General features: G+C 57.4%; 1 protein-coding gene across 17 annotated transcripts in view, besides 12 other annotated features; it reads left to right on the top strand.

Moving 5' to 3' along the window:
• The window catches only part of TOM1L2 (target of myb1 like 2 membrane trafficking protein), a 128,890-nt gene extending 121,280 nt beyond the window's left edge, over window positions 1-7,610 (top strand). For 12 of the 17 annotated variants that reach the window (NM_001288789.2, XM_047435389.1, NM_001033551.3 and 9 more), the window contains 3 exons: window positions 169-228; window positions 2,262-2,298; window positions 3,338-7,610. In NM_001288789.2, the coding sequence (NP_001275718.1) occupies window positions 169-228; window positions 2,262-2,298; window positions 3,338-3,486 (246 nt within the window). In that variant the 3' untranslated portion in view covers window positions 3,487-7,610. The remainder of the gene's footprint in view (window positions 1-168; window positions 229-2,261; window positions 2,299-3,337) is intronic. The other 5 variants (XM_047435386.1, NM_001288788.2, NM_001350331.2 and 2 more) reach the window with 1 other exon arrangement.
• Window positions 852-1,146: an enhancer, noted in NCBI's record as "tiled region #7387; HepG2 Activating DNase unmatched - State 5:Enh, and K562 Activating non-DNase unmatched - State 5:Enh". NCBI's record gives its function as "activates a minimal TATA promoter and a strong SV40 promoter by Sharpr-MPRA in HepG2 and K562 cells {active_cell/tissue: HepG2 | K562}" and the evidence as "EXISTENCE:reporter gene assay evidence [ECO:0000049][PMID:27701403]".
• Window positions 852-1,227: a biological region, named in NCBI's record as "Sharpr-MPRA regulatory region 7387".
• Window positions 968-1,227: an enhancer, noted in NCBI's record as "active region_11814". NCBI's record gives its function as "activates an Ori minimal core promoter by ATAC-STARR-seq in GM12878 lymphoblastoid cells {active_cell/tissue: GM12878}" and the evidence as "EXISTENCE:reporter gene assay evidence [ECO:0000049][PMID:35858748]".
• Window positions 1,729-2,575: an enhancer, noted in NCBI's record as "H3K4me1 hESC enhancer chr17:17751860-17752706 (GRCh37/hg19 assembly coordinates)". NCBI's record gives its function as "activates a minimal SCP1, AML or CMV promoter by ChIP-STARR-seq in primed H9 embryonic stem cells {active_cell/tissue: H9 hESC(primed)}" and the evidence as "EXISTENCE:reporter gene assay evidence [ECO:0000049][PMID:30033119]".
• Window positions 6,334-6,854: an enhancer, noted in NCBI's record as "H3K4me1 hESC enhancer chr17:17747581-17748101 (GRCh37/hg19 assembly coordinates)". NCBI's record gives its function as "activates a minimal SCP1, AML or CMV promoter by ChIP-STARR-seq in primed H9 embryonic stem cells {active_cell/tissue: H9 hESC(primed)}" and the evidence as "EXISTENCE:reporter gene assay evidence [ECO:0000049][PMID:30033119]".
• Window positions 8,755-9,256: an enhancer, noted in NCBI's record as "H3K4me1 hESC enhancer chr17:17745179-17745680 (GRCh37/hg19 assembly coordinates)". NCBI's record gives its function as "activates a minimal SCP1, AML or CMV promoter by ChIP-STARR-seq in naive H9 embryonic stem cells {active_cell/tissue: H9 hESC(naive)}" and the evidence as "EXISTENCE:reporter gene assay evidence [ECO:0000049][PMID:30033119]".
• Window positions 10,255-10,324: a silencer, noted in NCBI's record as "silent region_8261". NCBI's record gives its function as "represses an Ori minimal core promoter by ATAC-STARR-seq in GM12878 lymphoblastoid cells {active_cell/tissue: GM12878}" and the evidence as "EXISTENCE:reporter gene assay evidence [ECO:0000049][PMID:35858748]".
• Window positions 10,393-10,912: an enhancer, noted in NCBI's record as "H3K27ac-H3K4me1 hESC enhancer chr17:17743523-17744042 (GRCh37/hg19 assembly coordinates)". NCBI's record gives its function as "activates a minimal SCP1, AML or CMV promoter by ChIP-STARR-seq in primed H9 embryonic stem cells {active_cell/tissue: H9 hESC(primed)}" and the evidence as "EXISTENCE:reporter gene assay evidence [ECO:0000049][PMID:30033119]".
• Window positions 10,393-11,134: a biological region, named in NCBI's record as "H3K27ac-H3K4me1 hESC enhancer GRCh37_chr17:17743523-17744042".
• Window positions 10,705-11,134: a silencer, noted in NCBI's record as "silent region_8260". NCBI's record gives its function as "represses an Ori minimal core promoter by ATAC-STARR-seq in GM12878 lymphoblastoid cells {active_cell/tissue: GM12878}" and the evidence as "EXISTENCE:reporter gene assay evidence [ECO:0000049][PMID:35858748]".
• Window positions 12,554-13,455: an enhancer, noted in NCBI's record as "H3K27ac hESC enhancer chr17:17740980-17741881 (GRCh37/hg19 assembly coordinates)". NCBI's record gives its function as "activates a minimal SCP1, AML or CMV promoter by ChIP-STARR-seq in naive and primed H9 embryonic stem cells {active_cell/tissue: H9 hESC(naive and primed)}" and the evidence as "EXISTENCE:reporter gene assay evidence [ECO:0000049][PMID:30033119]".
• Window positions 13,456-13,532: part of an enhancer, noted in NCBI's record as "NANOG-H3K27ac-H3K4me1 hESC enhancer chr17:17740077-17740979 (GRCh37/hg19 assembly coordinates)", that runs on past the window's edge. NCBI's record gives its function as "activates a minimal SCP1, AML or CMV promoter by ChIP-STARR-seq in primed H9 embryonic stem cells {active_cell/tissue: H9 hESC(primed)}" and the evidence as "EXISTENCE:reporter gene assay evidence [ECO:0000049][PMID:30033119]".

Genomic DNA, 13,532 nt, shown 5'->3' with positions numbered 1-13,532 from the left:
TGGCTGCCCTGTGTTGCCCCTGTGTGCTGTGCCAATTGTGTTTTTTTGCTCTGTGTACATTTTGGTTTTATTTGGGGTTGCTGTTGATGATTTCCTTTGTTCCGGTGTTCTGTCTCCCCTCGCTGGCTGTGTGGGGGCTGCCTGGCCCGCTGCTTGCCGCCTCCATAGATCCCCGTTGCGCAGCCATCTGTCATGGACGACATTGAGGTGTGGCTCAGGACCGACCTGGTGAGACTCGACTTTTCTATTTCATCTGTGGGGTGTGGAGCGGCAGAGGCTCTTCTGAGGACAGGCCTTGGGGGAGCATCAGCAGGGGCTCCACCCCTGTCTGGGTCAGTGGAGAAGGGAGGTCTGGGCAAGCTCCATAGCTGCCCCTCCTCCCCGACATCAGCCCATAGCTGTGGGTGCTGCAGTGGCCTCCCGGCCTGCGGAGGCCAACTGTGCTGGGGGCAAGGCCTTGGGCACAGCCTCCTTCACCCACACAGTCCTAGCCGTAGCTGGCTCCAAAACACACACTTGCCTTCCCCCCAGTATCTTTTCCATTTCAGATGTATGTGCCGTGCTTTGGTTTTTTGGGGGAGGGAGTGTTGGGGGAGCATGTTTTTTGTTTTGTTTTGTTTTGTTTTCATTTCTTTTTTTTTTAATTGTGAAGTATACACACAGTGCTTTTGTTTTTAATTGGCTGTCATCCCCCTCCTCCCTTCCTGATTTTTGATGTAAAAGAACCCCTGCCCCAAAGACCCATTGTCTCCATCCTCAGAGATAGGGCTAGAAGATGAGGATACTATGCATCTGAAAATGGCAACAGGTCCCAAGAAAGGAGAGCTGCAGTGGCTGCATGTGATAACTGCTGGCCCCTCCCTCTGTTCTTTACAAAGCACTTTCACTCTCAGCAGCCCAGTAGGGGGCCAGGGTGGCGGATGAAGAAGTGCACTCTGGGAAGTGGCTTGCCCAGAGTCATGGGGTAGTTGGATTCTCCCCCAGAGCTGGAGACACCTCATCTCCCTCCTAGGTGCCTCCTCTGTAGGGGGCCTTGTCCCCAGGCAGAAGAGCCTGTTGAGTTCTTTAACCACAGGGTCAGCCTGGCTGTCTGTGGGCTGGTGACCTGGCTACCTCCCACACCAGGACAGCAGGCCTCAGGTTGGGGCCTCTGGCTGCTCTGGGCCTCCTCCCCAGAAGGTCAGCTTTCCAAACACATGCCTTGCCAAAGAAGGCAGCTGCCTGGGTGTCAGGGAGGAAGAACACACCCCGGGACATCTTTCCCAAGGGGCTGTCTCGAAAAGAAATTGCTTCTCTCACAGAAGCAAGGCAGGAAGGACCAAGGTCCTTAACTTCTAAGGGGGACCCCAGGGTCCAGACAGGGAGGGGATGTGTCCAGTAAGGCTACATAGCAGGTCAGTGGTAGAGTCAGGAAGGAACCCAGGTCTCCTAGCCCAGCCCAGGGCTTTGTCACTTCCCCATCCTGCCCCTTCCCAATGAGGCCCTGCACATGCTGCTCTTCCCCAGTCCCCAGGGAACCCCATGAGCTCAAGACACTACCATGTTCTCCAAACAAAATCAAGTCTGATGCACTTTAATTTTTGAGTGCACAGAGCCTCCATGGCTCCTTGAGGAGCCAGCAGCAGATAATATAATCTGGGCCACGGGAGGAGGCTGGTGCAGCTCCCAGGAGGCTGCAGGACATGGCTTCTGGAGGCACAGCCTCCACTCCCAAAGTACCTACTGAGTGACAGGCCCTGTGCTGTGGGCTTTGTGGCCCTGAGCCATCAAGGCCTCATGCGGTTTCCAGCTATTGGTGTCAACAGCGTCTTCCCAGAAACCCTGTGGCTGGCAGTGAGTGGGTGTTGTGTTGGGCACACGTGACCCTGTGTGTGCTCAGGCTCAGCCCCCTGTGGCTACTGCTCTGTGCCTCTCCCTAGAGCCTCAAGAGTGCCAAAGGTGGGGTCCCGCCCTCTGCAGCCCAGGCTGGAGAACCAGCCTGCACCGTTTTTGGAGTTTTCTTTCCAGCCTTTCTGGAGGATCAAAACCTAAAACATGTTTGAATTTTTTGCTTTTGTTTTTTAAAAACAAAGCTTCTGTTTCTCCAATAAGAAGAGCAGTATTTTACTATTACAGAAATCTGGAAACAGGGAAAATTAGGAAGTTTTGTTCAGGCTACCCTGGGCAGTGCTGTCCTAGGGTGGCCATGGGCAGACAGAGGTGGCTGGGCGGGCAGTGCTTGGACCAGTGCCCTAATTTCATTTTCTCTGCTCCTCCCACAGAAGGGTGATGATCTGGAGGAGGGTGTCACAAGTGAAGGTATGGCCTGGCCAGTGGCCTTACAGCCCCCTTTTGTTGCCTCTGTGCAGGCTGCACAGGAGCCAGCCCCCATCATCTTGGAGCCCCCGCTGCCAGAGCACCTACTGGTGCCAGGCCCTGAGCCATGGGCTTCACGGGTGGCTTTGTCCCACCCAGGTCTTACGCTGATTTGGGAAGTGTGATTTATCTCGCTTATTGGGAAACAGGTCAGAAAGAACATGTCAATTCCACAAAGTTGCAGAGCTGGTGAATAGCGGGTGCAGATTGCCACCTGGTCCTGACCCACAGGTGCTCAGCCCAGCTCAGACACGCAGTTTGTGGAGGTGCGCAGCAGCACCCTTGGGCCACTGAGCCAGAAGGGAGGAGCCTCTCCTGGGCCTCAGCTGATGGGCTGGATGGGAGCAGCGGGGTCTTAGTTCTCCCACATGGCCACCCCCACATCCCCTGCCCTTCACATCCTGCCTCCCCAAGCTCATCTTGCCCCACTCCATCTGCCTCTCCGTGCTCCTGTCCTCCTCTCCCCAGGTCTGCCAGACCCTGTGGCCAGACCGCTCCGCAGGGAGGGAAACTTCAGAGGACCCTGCTCCCTAGCTCTCAGTGCCCATAGAAATGGGGCACTCCCCCCTCCCCACTGCATTCCTCAGCATCTCCTCAGTCCTCCATTGGTGGGCAAGGGTGGGGTAGGTGGGATGGTTCCTGCCTGTTTAATCAGAAGCTGGCCCCTCCAGCTTACCCTGCCCCACCCCCAGTGCTGATCTGGAAAATGGACAAAACCCAGTGCTGATCTGGAAAATGGTCAGCGGTAGGGTGAGCACTCTGGGCTGTGTTTTCCAGAGCCTTTCCCTCCAGGGCAGGAGGACTGGGCACAGCCAGGAGCCTCCCCCCACACTGCAGCTCACGAACCCCTCCCTACCCACCTGCTCCTAGGTGGGCTTCATGCCTGCCCTAGAGGAGGAAACGGGCTGGGGAGTGGAAGGGTGCGCTTCCTCTGGTGGCCTGCCCTCACCAACCCTGACCCTTGCCTTGGTTTGTATTGCAGAGTTTGATAAATTCCTTGAAGAAAGAGCCAAAGCTGCTGAAATGGTTCCCGACCTCCCCTCGCCCCCCATGGAGGCTCCTGCCCCAGCCTCAAACCCTTCTGGCCGGAAGAAGCCAGAGCGGTCAGAGGATGCCCTCTTCGCCCTGTGAGCAGCTCTGTGGTTTGCCTCCCCAGATGGCGGGTCCCCGCTCGCACCCCGTGGACACCGGGCACTGGCCACTCCTACATCCCCAGCTCCACACGGCCTGCACACCTGTGTTTCCATGGAAATGCCACCGTGTCTGCTCCCAGGCCTCCCACTAGTCAGGACCAGCTTCAGCCACTTCTTTTCTCTGAGTGGTGGGACAACTGCAGCCAGAGACTCTCTCCCCTCCCACCATGGGCCCCTCTGCCCATGTTTCCTCCCAGGAAGAGCGGGCAGAGTGGCCCAGCCCCAGGCAGTGCTTCCTGAGCAGACCACCCGGACTGTCTTTCCTCCACCCGCCCATGGAGAAAGAGCACGCCCGGCCCCGCCCTGTGCTCACCTCTGCCTGGCTCAGCGACCTTCTCAGGCATTCTGCCCTCCTGGGCCCCTCTCTCCCTGAAGGGGCTTTGTGGCATCTCTGGAAGAGCAGGGTGTGCTGCACTCATGGGCCTGGTCTCACTCCTTGGACTTGTCACCTTGTGACATTTGGCTTATCAGCATTTGAGAAGGCTCTGCTGGGTCTCCATGGTGGGGGTCTCTCACCTTCTTGACCCTCTCTCCATCATTCAGCTGCCAGCCCAGGCTTCACACCCAAGCTGGCTCAGCAGCCGAGCCTGGCACCGAGGGTCCCTGCAGGCTCCCTGGGCAGGGAGAGGGCCAAGGACAATTGGGAGGGCAGCAGGCAGCCCGCAGATGGTGGCCATGTGGCACGCTGCTGAGACGACACTACCAATAAACCAAACTGCCACGCACACACTGCAGGCTCACACCCGCACACCTGGTCCTGGCTTGTGGAGGGACTTGCACTGGAGGTATTGCTCTGGCTTGCCTGGGGAAGTGTCACAGATGTGCACATGGGCCACACTCAGTGCTGTGGCCTGGCCTGCCGTAGCCTCACACATCTGCCTCAAGAGCCAGCAGCAAACAGCTTTGTGGCATCCTTGGAGGTTCCCAGTGACTGAGAGGCCTGGGCAGCACTAAGGCCCCTGCTCTGCTCCCTGGCATAGGCCTTGGCCTCCTTGCACAGACTCTCCTGACAGTCTGGCCTCCTCCCACCTCAGAGGTCCTCTGGCCACCAATTTATACTCTCTCCCCAAGCTGATCCTGAAGGCAGGCAGAGCAGCTAGGGGCTGGTAACATGTATTCCCATCCCGTGTCCTCACTGGTGTGTCTCCTGGCCATGGGCAAGGGACTCGGGTCATCCCAGGCCCTGGTCCAGCCAGACACCTGGCCCCACACCTCCCACCAGGCTGCTGTTGCTCAGAAGGAGAATACTGCAGCTGTATGCATCCCCGTGTGTCTTGGGCCCAGCTCGCTGGGTCAGTCTGCTCCTGTCCCCTCCAGCATGCACTGCCTAGGTCAGCACAGGTTCCTGATCCATGGTGTAGTTAGCCCTTCCCACCTGGCAGGACGGCCCAGACCACCAGCCAAGCAGGGAAAGGGGGCTGGGCTTGACGGGAGAAGAGACCAGCGACATGGTCGTTGGGGAGCATTCAGGATGGCGACTTCAGCTGGGGGTCATGCTGAGCACCAACAGGAACTATTCCAGTGAAGAGCAAGTGCTGCCCGACCCAGGACCCTGTGCCAGGCTAGCAGCCCTCCAGCTCCCTCCAGAGAGGAAACCTCTGTCTGGCTGAGGGTGGGACTAGCTGGGATGTCTCACTCCAGTTGCTCAGGTTCACCCAGGAAGCTCCTCCGTGGAGTGGCCAGCCTGATTCTAGCCCTGTCCTCTCTGGCAGCACATGCCACACCTGCCTGGGCCTTCTGCTCCCTGATGCTTGATGAGCCCCTGCCTCCTCAATGTTTCTCAAAGACAGACCCCCCTGAGGCCAGCTTGAATGTGAAGACTGCTGAAGTTAGCTGGCTTCACTTGAGCTGCAGAAAAGGTGGCTGGGATGGCCCAGGTGCACCCAGAGGCCCCAGCCCTTTGGCTGCCTTTGGGTTGTGACTTGGGTTGTCTCTGAGGCCCTGCCAGAGCTGGGCCTGCGGGTGGTGGGCGGTCCGACCTCGGGCAGTCAGTGCTCCGCAGCCTCAGCACTGCATCCCAGACCCAGTGTCCTCAGAGGGAAGAGCCAGCCTCCCTGCCTCATGGAACCAGGAGTCCCAAAAAGTCAGGAGCCTGGAGGCTCTGAAAGGAGCAGGGATTCCATAGTGCGTGAAGCTGAAATAGGCGCCCTCCTGGGGAGCCCCCAGCAAAACTGTTTTTCATACCCACTCCCAGAACTGCCCCGCTCCAGCTCCAGCGCCAGCGCCAGCTGGTTGCCAGGCATCATTGGAGAGGCCTGGCTGCCCCAGGGGCAGCAGGGAGTGGTGGACCTGTATGGGCTGGCAGGAGGCCATTGGCCATGCTGACAAGTGTCACCTGCCTTCCTAGCCTGGAGCCACCCCTCAGGTGGCCTGCTTGCACCTCCTATCCGGAGGTAGCCTGCCCCACCTGTAGGCAGAGGGGGCTCTTGCTTGAGGCCTGCACAGGAAGCAAGTATAGCCCCGGTGCCCCAGAGTGGGTTCCACTTAGCCCTGGCGAGATGGCCTGTCCTGAGATCTCTGCTCCCAGACCCCACCATCTGGGGAGCACAGTCCTTAGGCTGCCTGGTCCAGGAAGGGGGTGCGGCTCTGTCAGGAAACCTGGACTCTCAAGGCCCACCAGCCTCTCCGTGAGTGTTAGAAATCACAGATACAGTATATACTTAATTACACTAAATTATTGCTGGGATTCCTTATAAGCACTAATTATACCTGATTATAGGTTAAAATATTTATTTTGTCAAAATATTTTCTTGGGAATGTGTTTAACCCTTTCTGCGTTCATTGTTGCTGAGATGTGAAAACTAACCATTCCCTCCTGCCTACCTTTTTGGCCACTGGGCGGCAGAGAATGGCGCTATGTGCAGTTGGGCCCCTGGCACCATGGGCCTTTGGCCTGCCTGCTGCAGAGTAGCCCTGCCTGGGCAGTCTCCAGGCACTGAGCAGGCCATCTGTGGCCAGGCTGAGAGAATGACTGGCTCGCTTACCAGCGTGCATGGGACAAGGAGCTTTGGAGCCTCAAGGGGTTGTTGCTGGCCTGGGCTAGAGGGAAAGGTGACCATCCGTCTGTCCTCCTGTCTTTCTATTAGCGCCTCCATGTGAGTGATGGTGCCTTGGTTCACTAGCCTTCCCCCACCACCCCACCATGCCACCTGGTGGTCTTGGGGCCTGTGCTGTCACTCCAGCCCCTGGGGAGGAGAGGACCCAGCCCGGAGAGTTGGGGCAAGGGCTCCACATGGCCCAAGGGCAACAGATGCTCGCAGGGCAGCTGCTGCCGATGCTCACGCTCCTGCCCCCCTCCTTCCCGCTGCCACACCCCACCCTGGGCCCCCGCAGACACGCATCTCTAACTCAGTTGGGCCCAGCCTTCTGGATGGCTTGGGGTAGGCCATGGGCCCACCTGGGGCCAGGCCAGCCCCTGGGGCAGCTCTGGAAGAGCAGTGTGGAGGAGCACTTGCTTGCAGCCTGGCTTCAGCCTCTGGCACTGCTGGAGTGGTCCCTGGGAGCTTCTGCACTGTCGGCTTTGGGGACGTCTCACCCACTTGGGTTACAGTAGGCCTTCCCCACCCAGAGAGAAGTGTTTCCACCCCAGAGACATTGTCTGTCAGCCCCTGAAGTGCTCGCCTCCCCCAGTGCCCGTCACCAGCCCTTCCTATCTGTGGGGTCCAAGTCAGGCTTCCCCTGCGGCCACCAGCCATAGGGAGCAGCCATCAGCCCCCGAGTCAGAACTGCTTCTGTCTGTCCATACCTCCAGGCTCTCCCGGAGAGGGGGACGGATATTTATTTCCTAAAGTTTGCACTTAATTGTGAGGATTCTCAGGATTGTTGGGGGCTACTGAAAAGAGGAATGTGTTGAATGTCGCGTTTGCTGTCCACTCGTCCTAGAAGTTTAGTGTTTTTGTCACTGTCATGTGTTTCTGTGGGCAGAGCTGGTTCTGGAGGGTGGGTCAGTGCACCCGAGGCTCAGAGCATCCATCCACCCCACTGGCCCTCCTTCCAGATACCCTCTCTCTAATTGGGTTCTTGCATGTAAAATACTCCACAATAAATAAATAATTGAACAAATTATGCCTGTGTGGTCTGTTGAATTGGCTACGACTGTCCAAAGGGCTTGCCAGTTTTGACCACCTGCTTTATTTAAGCAGGGGTGGCCATGGGGACCCTCAGTCCACCCTTCCCCAGTGGCCAGGCTGCCTGAGCAGCCCCTTACCTGGCCAGGAAAATTCCTGTGCGTGGCCCAGGTTGTGACATCGGTGGGAGTGGCTGTAAGCCTGCTACAACCTGCCTGAGAGCTCTAGGACCAAGTGCTGTGGTTGTTCCTAGGTCTCACCCCAGGTCCCAGATGGGCAGGAGGAGGCCACTCACCCTTGCCCAGGGCACCCAGGCCTTGAGCAAGCAGGCCTGAGCCACCCCTGACCCCCTCTAAGCCCCAGCCCCCACCCTCGGCTGGACTCCCACAGCTTGGCTGGGCATCATCTGCAGAGCCTGTGCTGGGCACTGAATTTGAGAACTGCTGCTCCAAGCCAGGTAGACTTCACACTTTGTTAACAGTTTTACTGAGATATAATTCACATAGCATACAATTTACCCATTTAAAGTGTACAATTAAGTAGTCTTCAGAATATCCATAGAGTTGGGCAATCATCACCGCAACCAAATTTAGAACATTTTTATTCCCCCCAAAAGAAACCTGTCTCCTCCCATCCCCACAGCCTGCTCTCCCTTTCTAAAAAGGCTTCCTTCCCCCTCTCCCCTTGTCCTGGAGGTGGGCACCTGCAGCCCTTTGTTGTAAGGTAGCTGTCCTCCTGGAAGCAGGCCCCTCAGGCCCAGAGGCATAGGGGGTCATGAGGGGTGCATTGTGGGAGCCTGTGGGAACTGTGCCTTCTCCAAGTGGCTTGGGAGGCCGAGGGCCCTTTAATCCCTTCGCTGGGGCTTAAGGACAGACCTCAAGTCAGGGTGGACTCACCAAACCCCCGATGAACCTGGAGATCTTCCCAAACTCTTGCTGTGCCAGTGAAGACATGGAGGACTAGAAAGAGCTGTAGGCTTGCCCCAGGCTGCACAGGGAGTAGTGGCAGAACCAGTACCCAACCCAGAGCCAGACCTCCCAGACAGGTCCATGAAGTGGGCAGGAAAGACACCACTTCCATGGCCAGCAGATAAAGCTGCCCCACCTACCCTGAACAGCAGCCCTTCTGGGAGCGTGGCTCAGGAGGGGCTCTCCTGCCCACTGATAGGAGTCAGGTCACGGCAGGGGCCGTGTTGGGACCACCGCCATCACCAGTCGTAGCCAGAAGGGGCGGCACCCAGCTACCTCTGGCCAGTTGCCTCCCTGGGCTCCAGGGAGCTCTGCAGAGCCCTGTTTCTGACCAGTTGGAGTGAGATAAAGGTTCCCACACCCAGGGGAGAAGGGGAGTGGGCTCCTGAAGTGGGGGTGGGGGGCTGCAAACCCAGGTCCCTTTAAACAGATAGCATAGATCCTGGCTCATTATGTGCCCCCAGCACTGTACCAGGCAATGTGGGCACTGAAAGAGGCCTGAGCTCTGTCCCTACCCTGTGGAGAGTAGATTGGTGCTGAGACACTACTGTGGACTCACCAGGACACCTAGGCCACTTGTGCTTTCAGCAGTGTTCCTGAGAGCCTGCTGTGTGCCAGGCTGGTGCCAGAGGGGAGGGACAGGGCTGCTCCAGTCCTGCCCTTGGGGAATGTGCAGCCTGGTTCTATTCCCAGAGTCAAGGACACTCTGCAGCCAGTTAAGTGTTGTAGCTCTCTTCCAGGGCCTGCAGGAGAGGAGGCTCTGAGCACATAGCTGAGCCCCAGGGCACTCAAGCTGCACACTTGAGGGAAGCATTGTGGGAGCCTGTGGTTTTTCCAAGAAAAAGGTCTCCTTTGGGTCCTGGGGGCAGCGGGAGGGCAGAACCTGAGGCCTTGGACAGGTCTGCATGACCCACCCAGAAATGCCATCAGTTTATTTTACAGGAGTCCCTGTCAGAGCTTTTGGGGCAGACCTCAGAGGAGTCTGTCCAGGGCCTCCAAGCCCAGGCCCTCAACATTCCAGGACGCAAAATCTCTACTCTCAGCACTAGGGAGTAAGTAGGATGCTTCCGGAAATTGAGTGGACTCCATTGTCTGGTGCCATTTCCTGTCCACCCCATTCCTCCCTAGGGTTGCAGGCTTAACTGTAGGTGTTGGGTAAGTCACTGTCTCACTCTGTTCTTTACTCTCCTGATCGGTAAACTGGTGTAGTGGGTGGTAAACCCAATGCCCACAGGGGCCTTATTACATTGATTTCCTCACTCTCCCTGTTGCCGGCTAGACTCACCCCATTCAATATGCAATTGGCCTCTCCTCAAACAGCCAGTTACCCCCCAGGGAACAGGTATCAGTCTTCCTCAGCCTTTGTGAGCTACACCCCTCACTGTGCAGCAATCTTTGGGGTTCAAGTAGCTCTTTGGTAGAGGGTGTGTTCAGTGACTCATGATAAGCCTGCAGGTGCCCACATGGGTGTGAGCCTCCAGGGGCAAAGCTGGCCATGGAGGCTCAGAGAGGGCTGGAAAGAACTCGCCCAGCTCACCACAGAGCCCAAGCTGGAATGAGACCACGAGCGTCATCTAGGACCAGAATCACCCATGTCAACAGTCATCTGACCCCATTATATACAGATGGAGAAGTGGGGGAGGGGAGACTCAGGCTCTGAGCAGTCTCTTCCCACAGCCTGGCCCCTCTGCCATAACCTGGGCAGGTCCCAGCTTGGCTCCCACAGCAGTGAAGGATATGCAGGGCCAGGCAGGGGGGCAGGGGGGCAGGGGGGCTCTGGGAGTGGGGAGGGGTTTCAGTAGCCTAGGCAATGGCTAGAGTGGACAACCCAGTTTTCCTGCCCAGTGCCTGCCCTGCCATCCACGGCTGAGCTCCGGGCACCGAGGGCATGGCTGGACAGGACAAGCGTCCTGGAAGAGGCCCTGCCCGTGCTGGACGCCTGCCCGAAAAGGCTCGAAACCCACAGAAGCTGCCTCTCAGTCTCTAAGAGGCTTGGAGAGGAAGCGGGGAGATGCGAATTCCTATCTCCCAGTTGGCAACGCCGAGGTCGGGCAGGGGCCGGGCTGGGTGACCTGGAAGGAATCCTCCGCTCTGGGCGCGCCACGCAGTCCCGGGTGGGGCTGTCCCGTGTTAGCCCTTCCGGTGCCCGGGACGCGCACCTGGCGGCATTCCTGGCCAGGTGTCTGGACTGGGGGCTGAGCCCAGCCTGTCCCCGCCGCCCCTCCCTACCTCCCGGGTAGAGCGGGCGCGGCGCATGTGACCCAGGGCTGGGCTCCCGGGAGTTACGCGCTGACGCCGCGTCACCCCACTCCGGGCCGGGCGCCCATTGGCTGCGCCGGGCCCGCGGGGGCGGGGCTGGTCTGGCTCTGCGCCCCGGCTCCCCTGGGTCTCCAGCCGCTGCCCTGGCCCGCGCGCGTGCGGAGCCGCCCCGGCTCTCCGGCTACCTCCAGTCCAGACAAAACCAGGGGCAGCAGTGCTGTGAGGTCCTGAGCAAGTCGCTTCACCGTCCCGCTCCACGTGCCTCAATTTACTCATCTGTAAAATGGGATGGTAACAGCCTCAACCGCCTGAGGCTGTCGAGAGGAGTGAATGGGTTTAAACCGCACTGAACACTCTGTAAGCGCTCAGCAAGTAAACTGTGCCGAACCTGCCCGCCGGGGTCACCGTGGACCAGGCTGGATCCCTGACCCCTGATAGGCACACCATTACAGAGGGGCTTGTGTCCACGTTCCTTGGGCGTGCTCAACGCTCCCCAGCCAACCGGGGCCCGAGGGTCTTGTTTGGAGGTCTCAGGATCTTTGAGGAGAGAAACTGCCAAGACAAGCATGTTCCCCCTGAAAAATGGATCCCCTCTTCTGTTTTCCCCTACCCTCACGTTGAGGGTTGCCCTGGTAATCCCAGGCTGTGGGGCAAAGATTTGTTTCTTTGGTGGCAAAGATGTAAATTCTTCCCACCCCCACGTTGGACTGTGCCCCATGGGGGTTGGATTTTCTGGGGTGCAGGTCTTCTGTTGACCTTGTCTTACCTTCTTTCCCTTTCCCCTAACTCCTGCAGTTATGGAGTGAATATTTATTGAGCTATTCTATTTACATATGTGGTAACCCATTTAAAAACGGTGAGGCGGGTTGGGTGCAGTAGCTCACGTCTGTAATCCGAGCACTTTGGGAAGCCGAAGTGGGTAGATTACTGGAGGCTAGGAGTTCGAAACCAGTCTGACCAACATGACAAAACCCCATCTCTACTAAAAATACAAAAATTAGCCGGGCGTGGTAGTGCATGACTGTAATCCCATCTACTCGGGAGGCTGAGGGAAAAGAAATGCTTGAACCCGGGAGGCCGACGTTGCAGTGAGCCAAGATTGTGCCACTGCACTCCAGCCTGGGCAACAGAGCGAGACTCTGTCTTAAAAACAACAACAACAACAACAACAACAACAACAAAAACAGTGATAGCCAGGTGCAGTGACTCACACTTGCAATCCCAGCACTTTGGGGGGGCCGAGGTAGGTGGATCACCTAAGGTCAGGAGTTCAAGACCAGCCTGGCCAAAATGGTGAAACCTCATCTCTACTAAAAATACAAAAATTAGCCTGGCATGGTGGCGTGCGCCTGTAATCCCAGCTACTCAGGAGGCTGAGACAGAATTGCTTGAACCTGGGAGGTGGAGGTCGCAGTGAGCCGAGATCATGCCGCTGCACTCCAGCCTGGGTGACAGAGAGAGACTTTGTCTCAAAACAAAAAACAAAACAAAACAAAACAAAAAACAGTGAGGCAGATCTGTTGTGATGATGACTCCAAAACACCCTCCCTGCCTCTGCAGAGGGACTGCAGAAAGGGTTATTCCCATTTTATAGATACAGTAGCTGAGACTCAGAAGTGAGGTATTGGATCCAGGTCACACAGCAAGCAGGTGAAAACCCAGATCACCTGCCTAGCTCTGAAGAAAATGGTATTTAGGCTTCACCCAGCACTTCCTATCCCACCCCCTCCCTGGGAAGGGCTGTTTAAATTTTCAGGGAAGTCACCAGCTTCCTGCAGCCTCTAGAGTGTTGGTGGGGGTGGGGCACTGAGGAGAAGCCAGCTTTGTTCTCTGTGTTCTCCAGCAGTTGTTCATCTGGAGGGAGTGGGTCCTGGGTGGACCCTTGAGCAGGGCTACTTGGGGAGATGTGGTTTGGCGACCCCTATGACTTCTGGCGCCGCTATTCTGGGTAATTTTCCACCGCAGCCACTTCTGGGAGAGGAACAAAGGGAGCTGGATGTCCAGGCTGAGCCCCAGGGACTTGGGCTCTGTGGCTTCTCTCCCCCACACACCCCTTCTAAAATGCATCATGAATGTTACTCCTGCTTAGGGCGTGGCCAGATAGGCTATATCTGGAGTTTGAGCAAGGCAGTCTGCAGGATGGCTTGACTTATGAAGGTCTGGGGTCGGGAAGGCCTGAGGCCCAGGCCCCTGATGAGTTTCCTGGACTGCCCTCCACCAAGGGTGCTTCTCTCTGCTTGCATACCTCTGGGGACAGGGAGCTCACTGCCTTATCACATTCAGATTCCTGAATGTTAATTCTGGTTTATTTCAACCCACCTCATTGGGACCCCTTCCCTCCTTCCTGCCCCACCTGGCTCTGTCCCTAGGCCACAGAACCAGGTTCGGTTTCCAGCCCTCTTCTCAACAGGGCTGCCTGCTCTGATCTAGTCCCAGCTTGTGATGATCCAGGGCAGCCTGGCTCTGATCTAAAGCACAGCTACCTCTTCCTTGCGGCCCCTATCCTGGCTGCTCCTGGGAATAAGTGCCAAATCTGGGGTCAGACAGCCCTGGGGCCAGTCTTCCTTGGGTACTGGCTTCCTCCTTCAGGAGCTGCACTGGGCCCACTGGTATCCTATCCCTACAGCTGGATCTGGGAGGAAACCAGATGACGAAATTCCAGCCTCTTTCTTTGGCCACTCCTGTCCTCA

Source organism: Homo sapiens, chromosome 17 (genome assembly GCF_000001405.40).
Source record: "Homo sapiens chromosome 17, GRCh38.p14 Primary Assembly".
Lineage (NCBI taxonomy): Eukaryota > Metazoa > Chordata > Mammalia > Primates > Hominidae > Homo > Homo sapiens.
The sequence above is the reverse complement of the archived record's forward strand: the minus strand, read 5'-3'. Positions and strand labels throughout refer to the sequence as shown.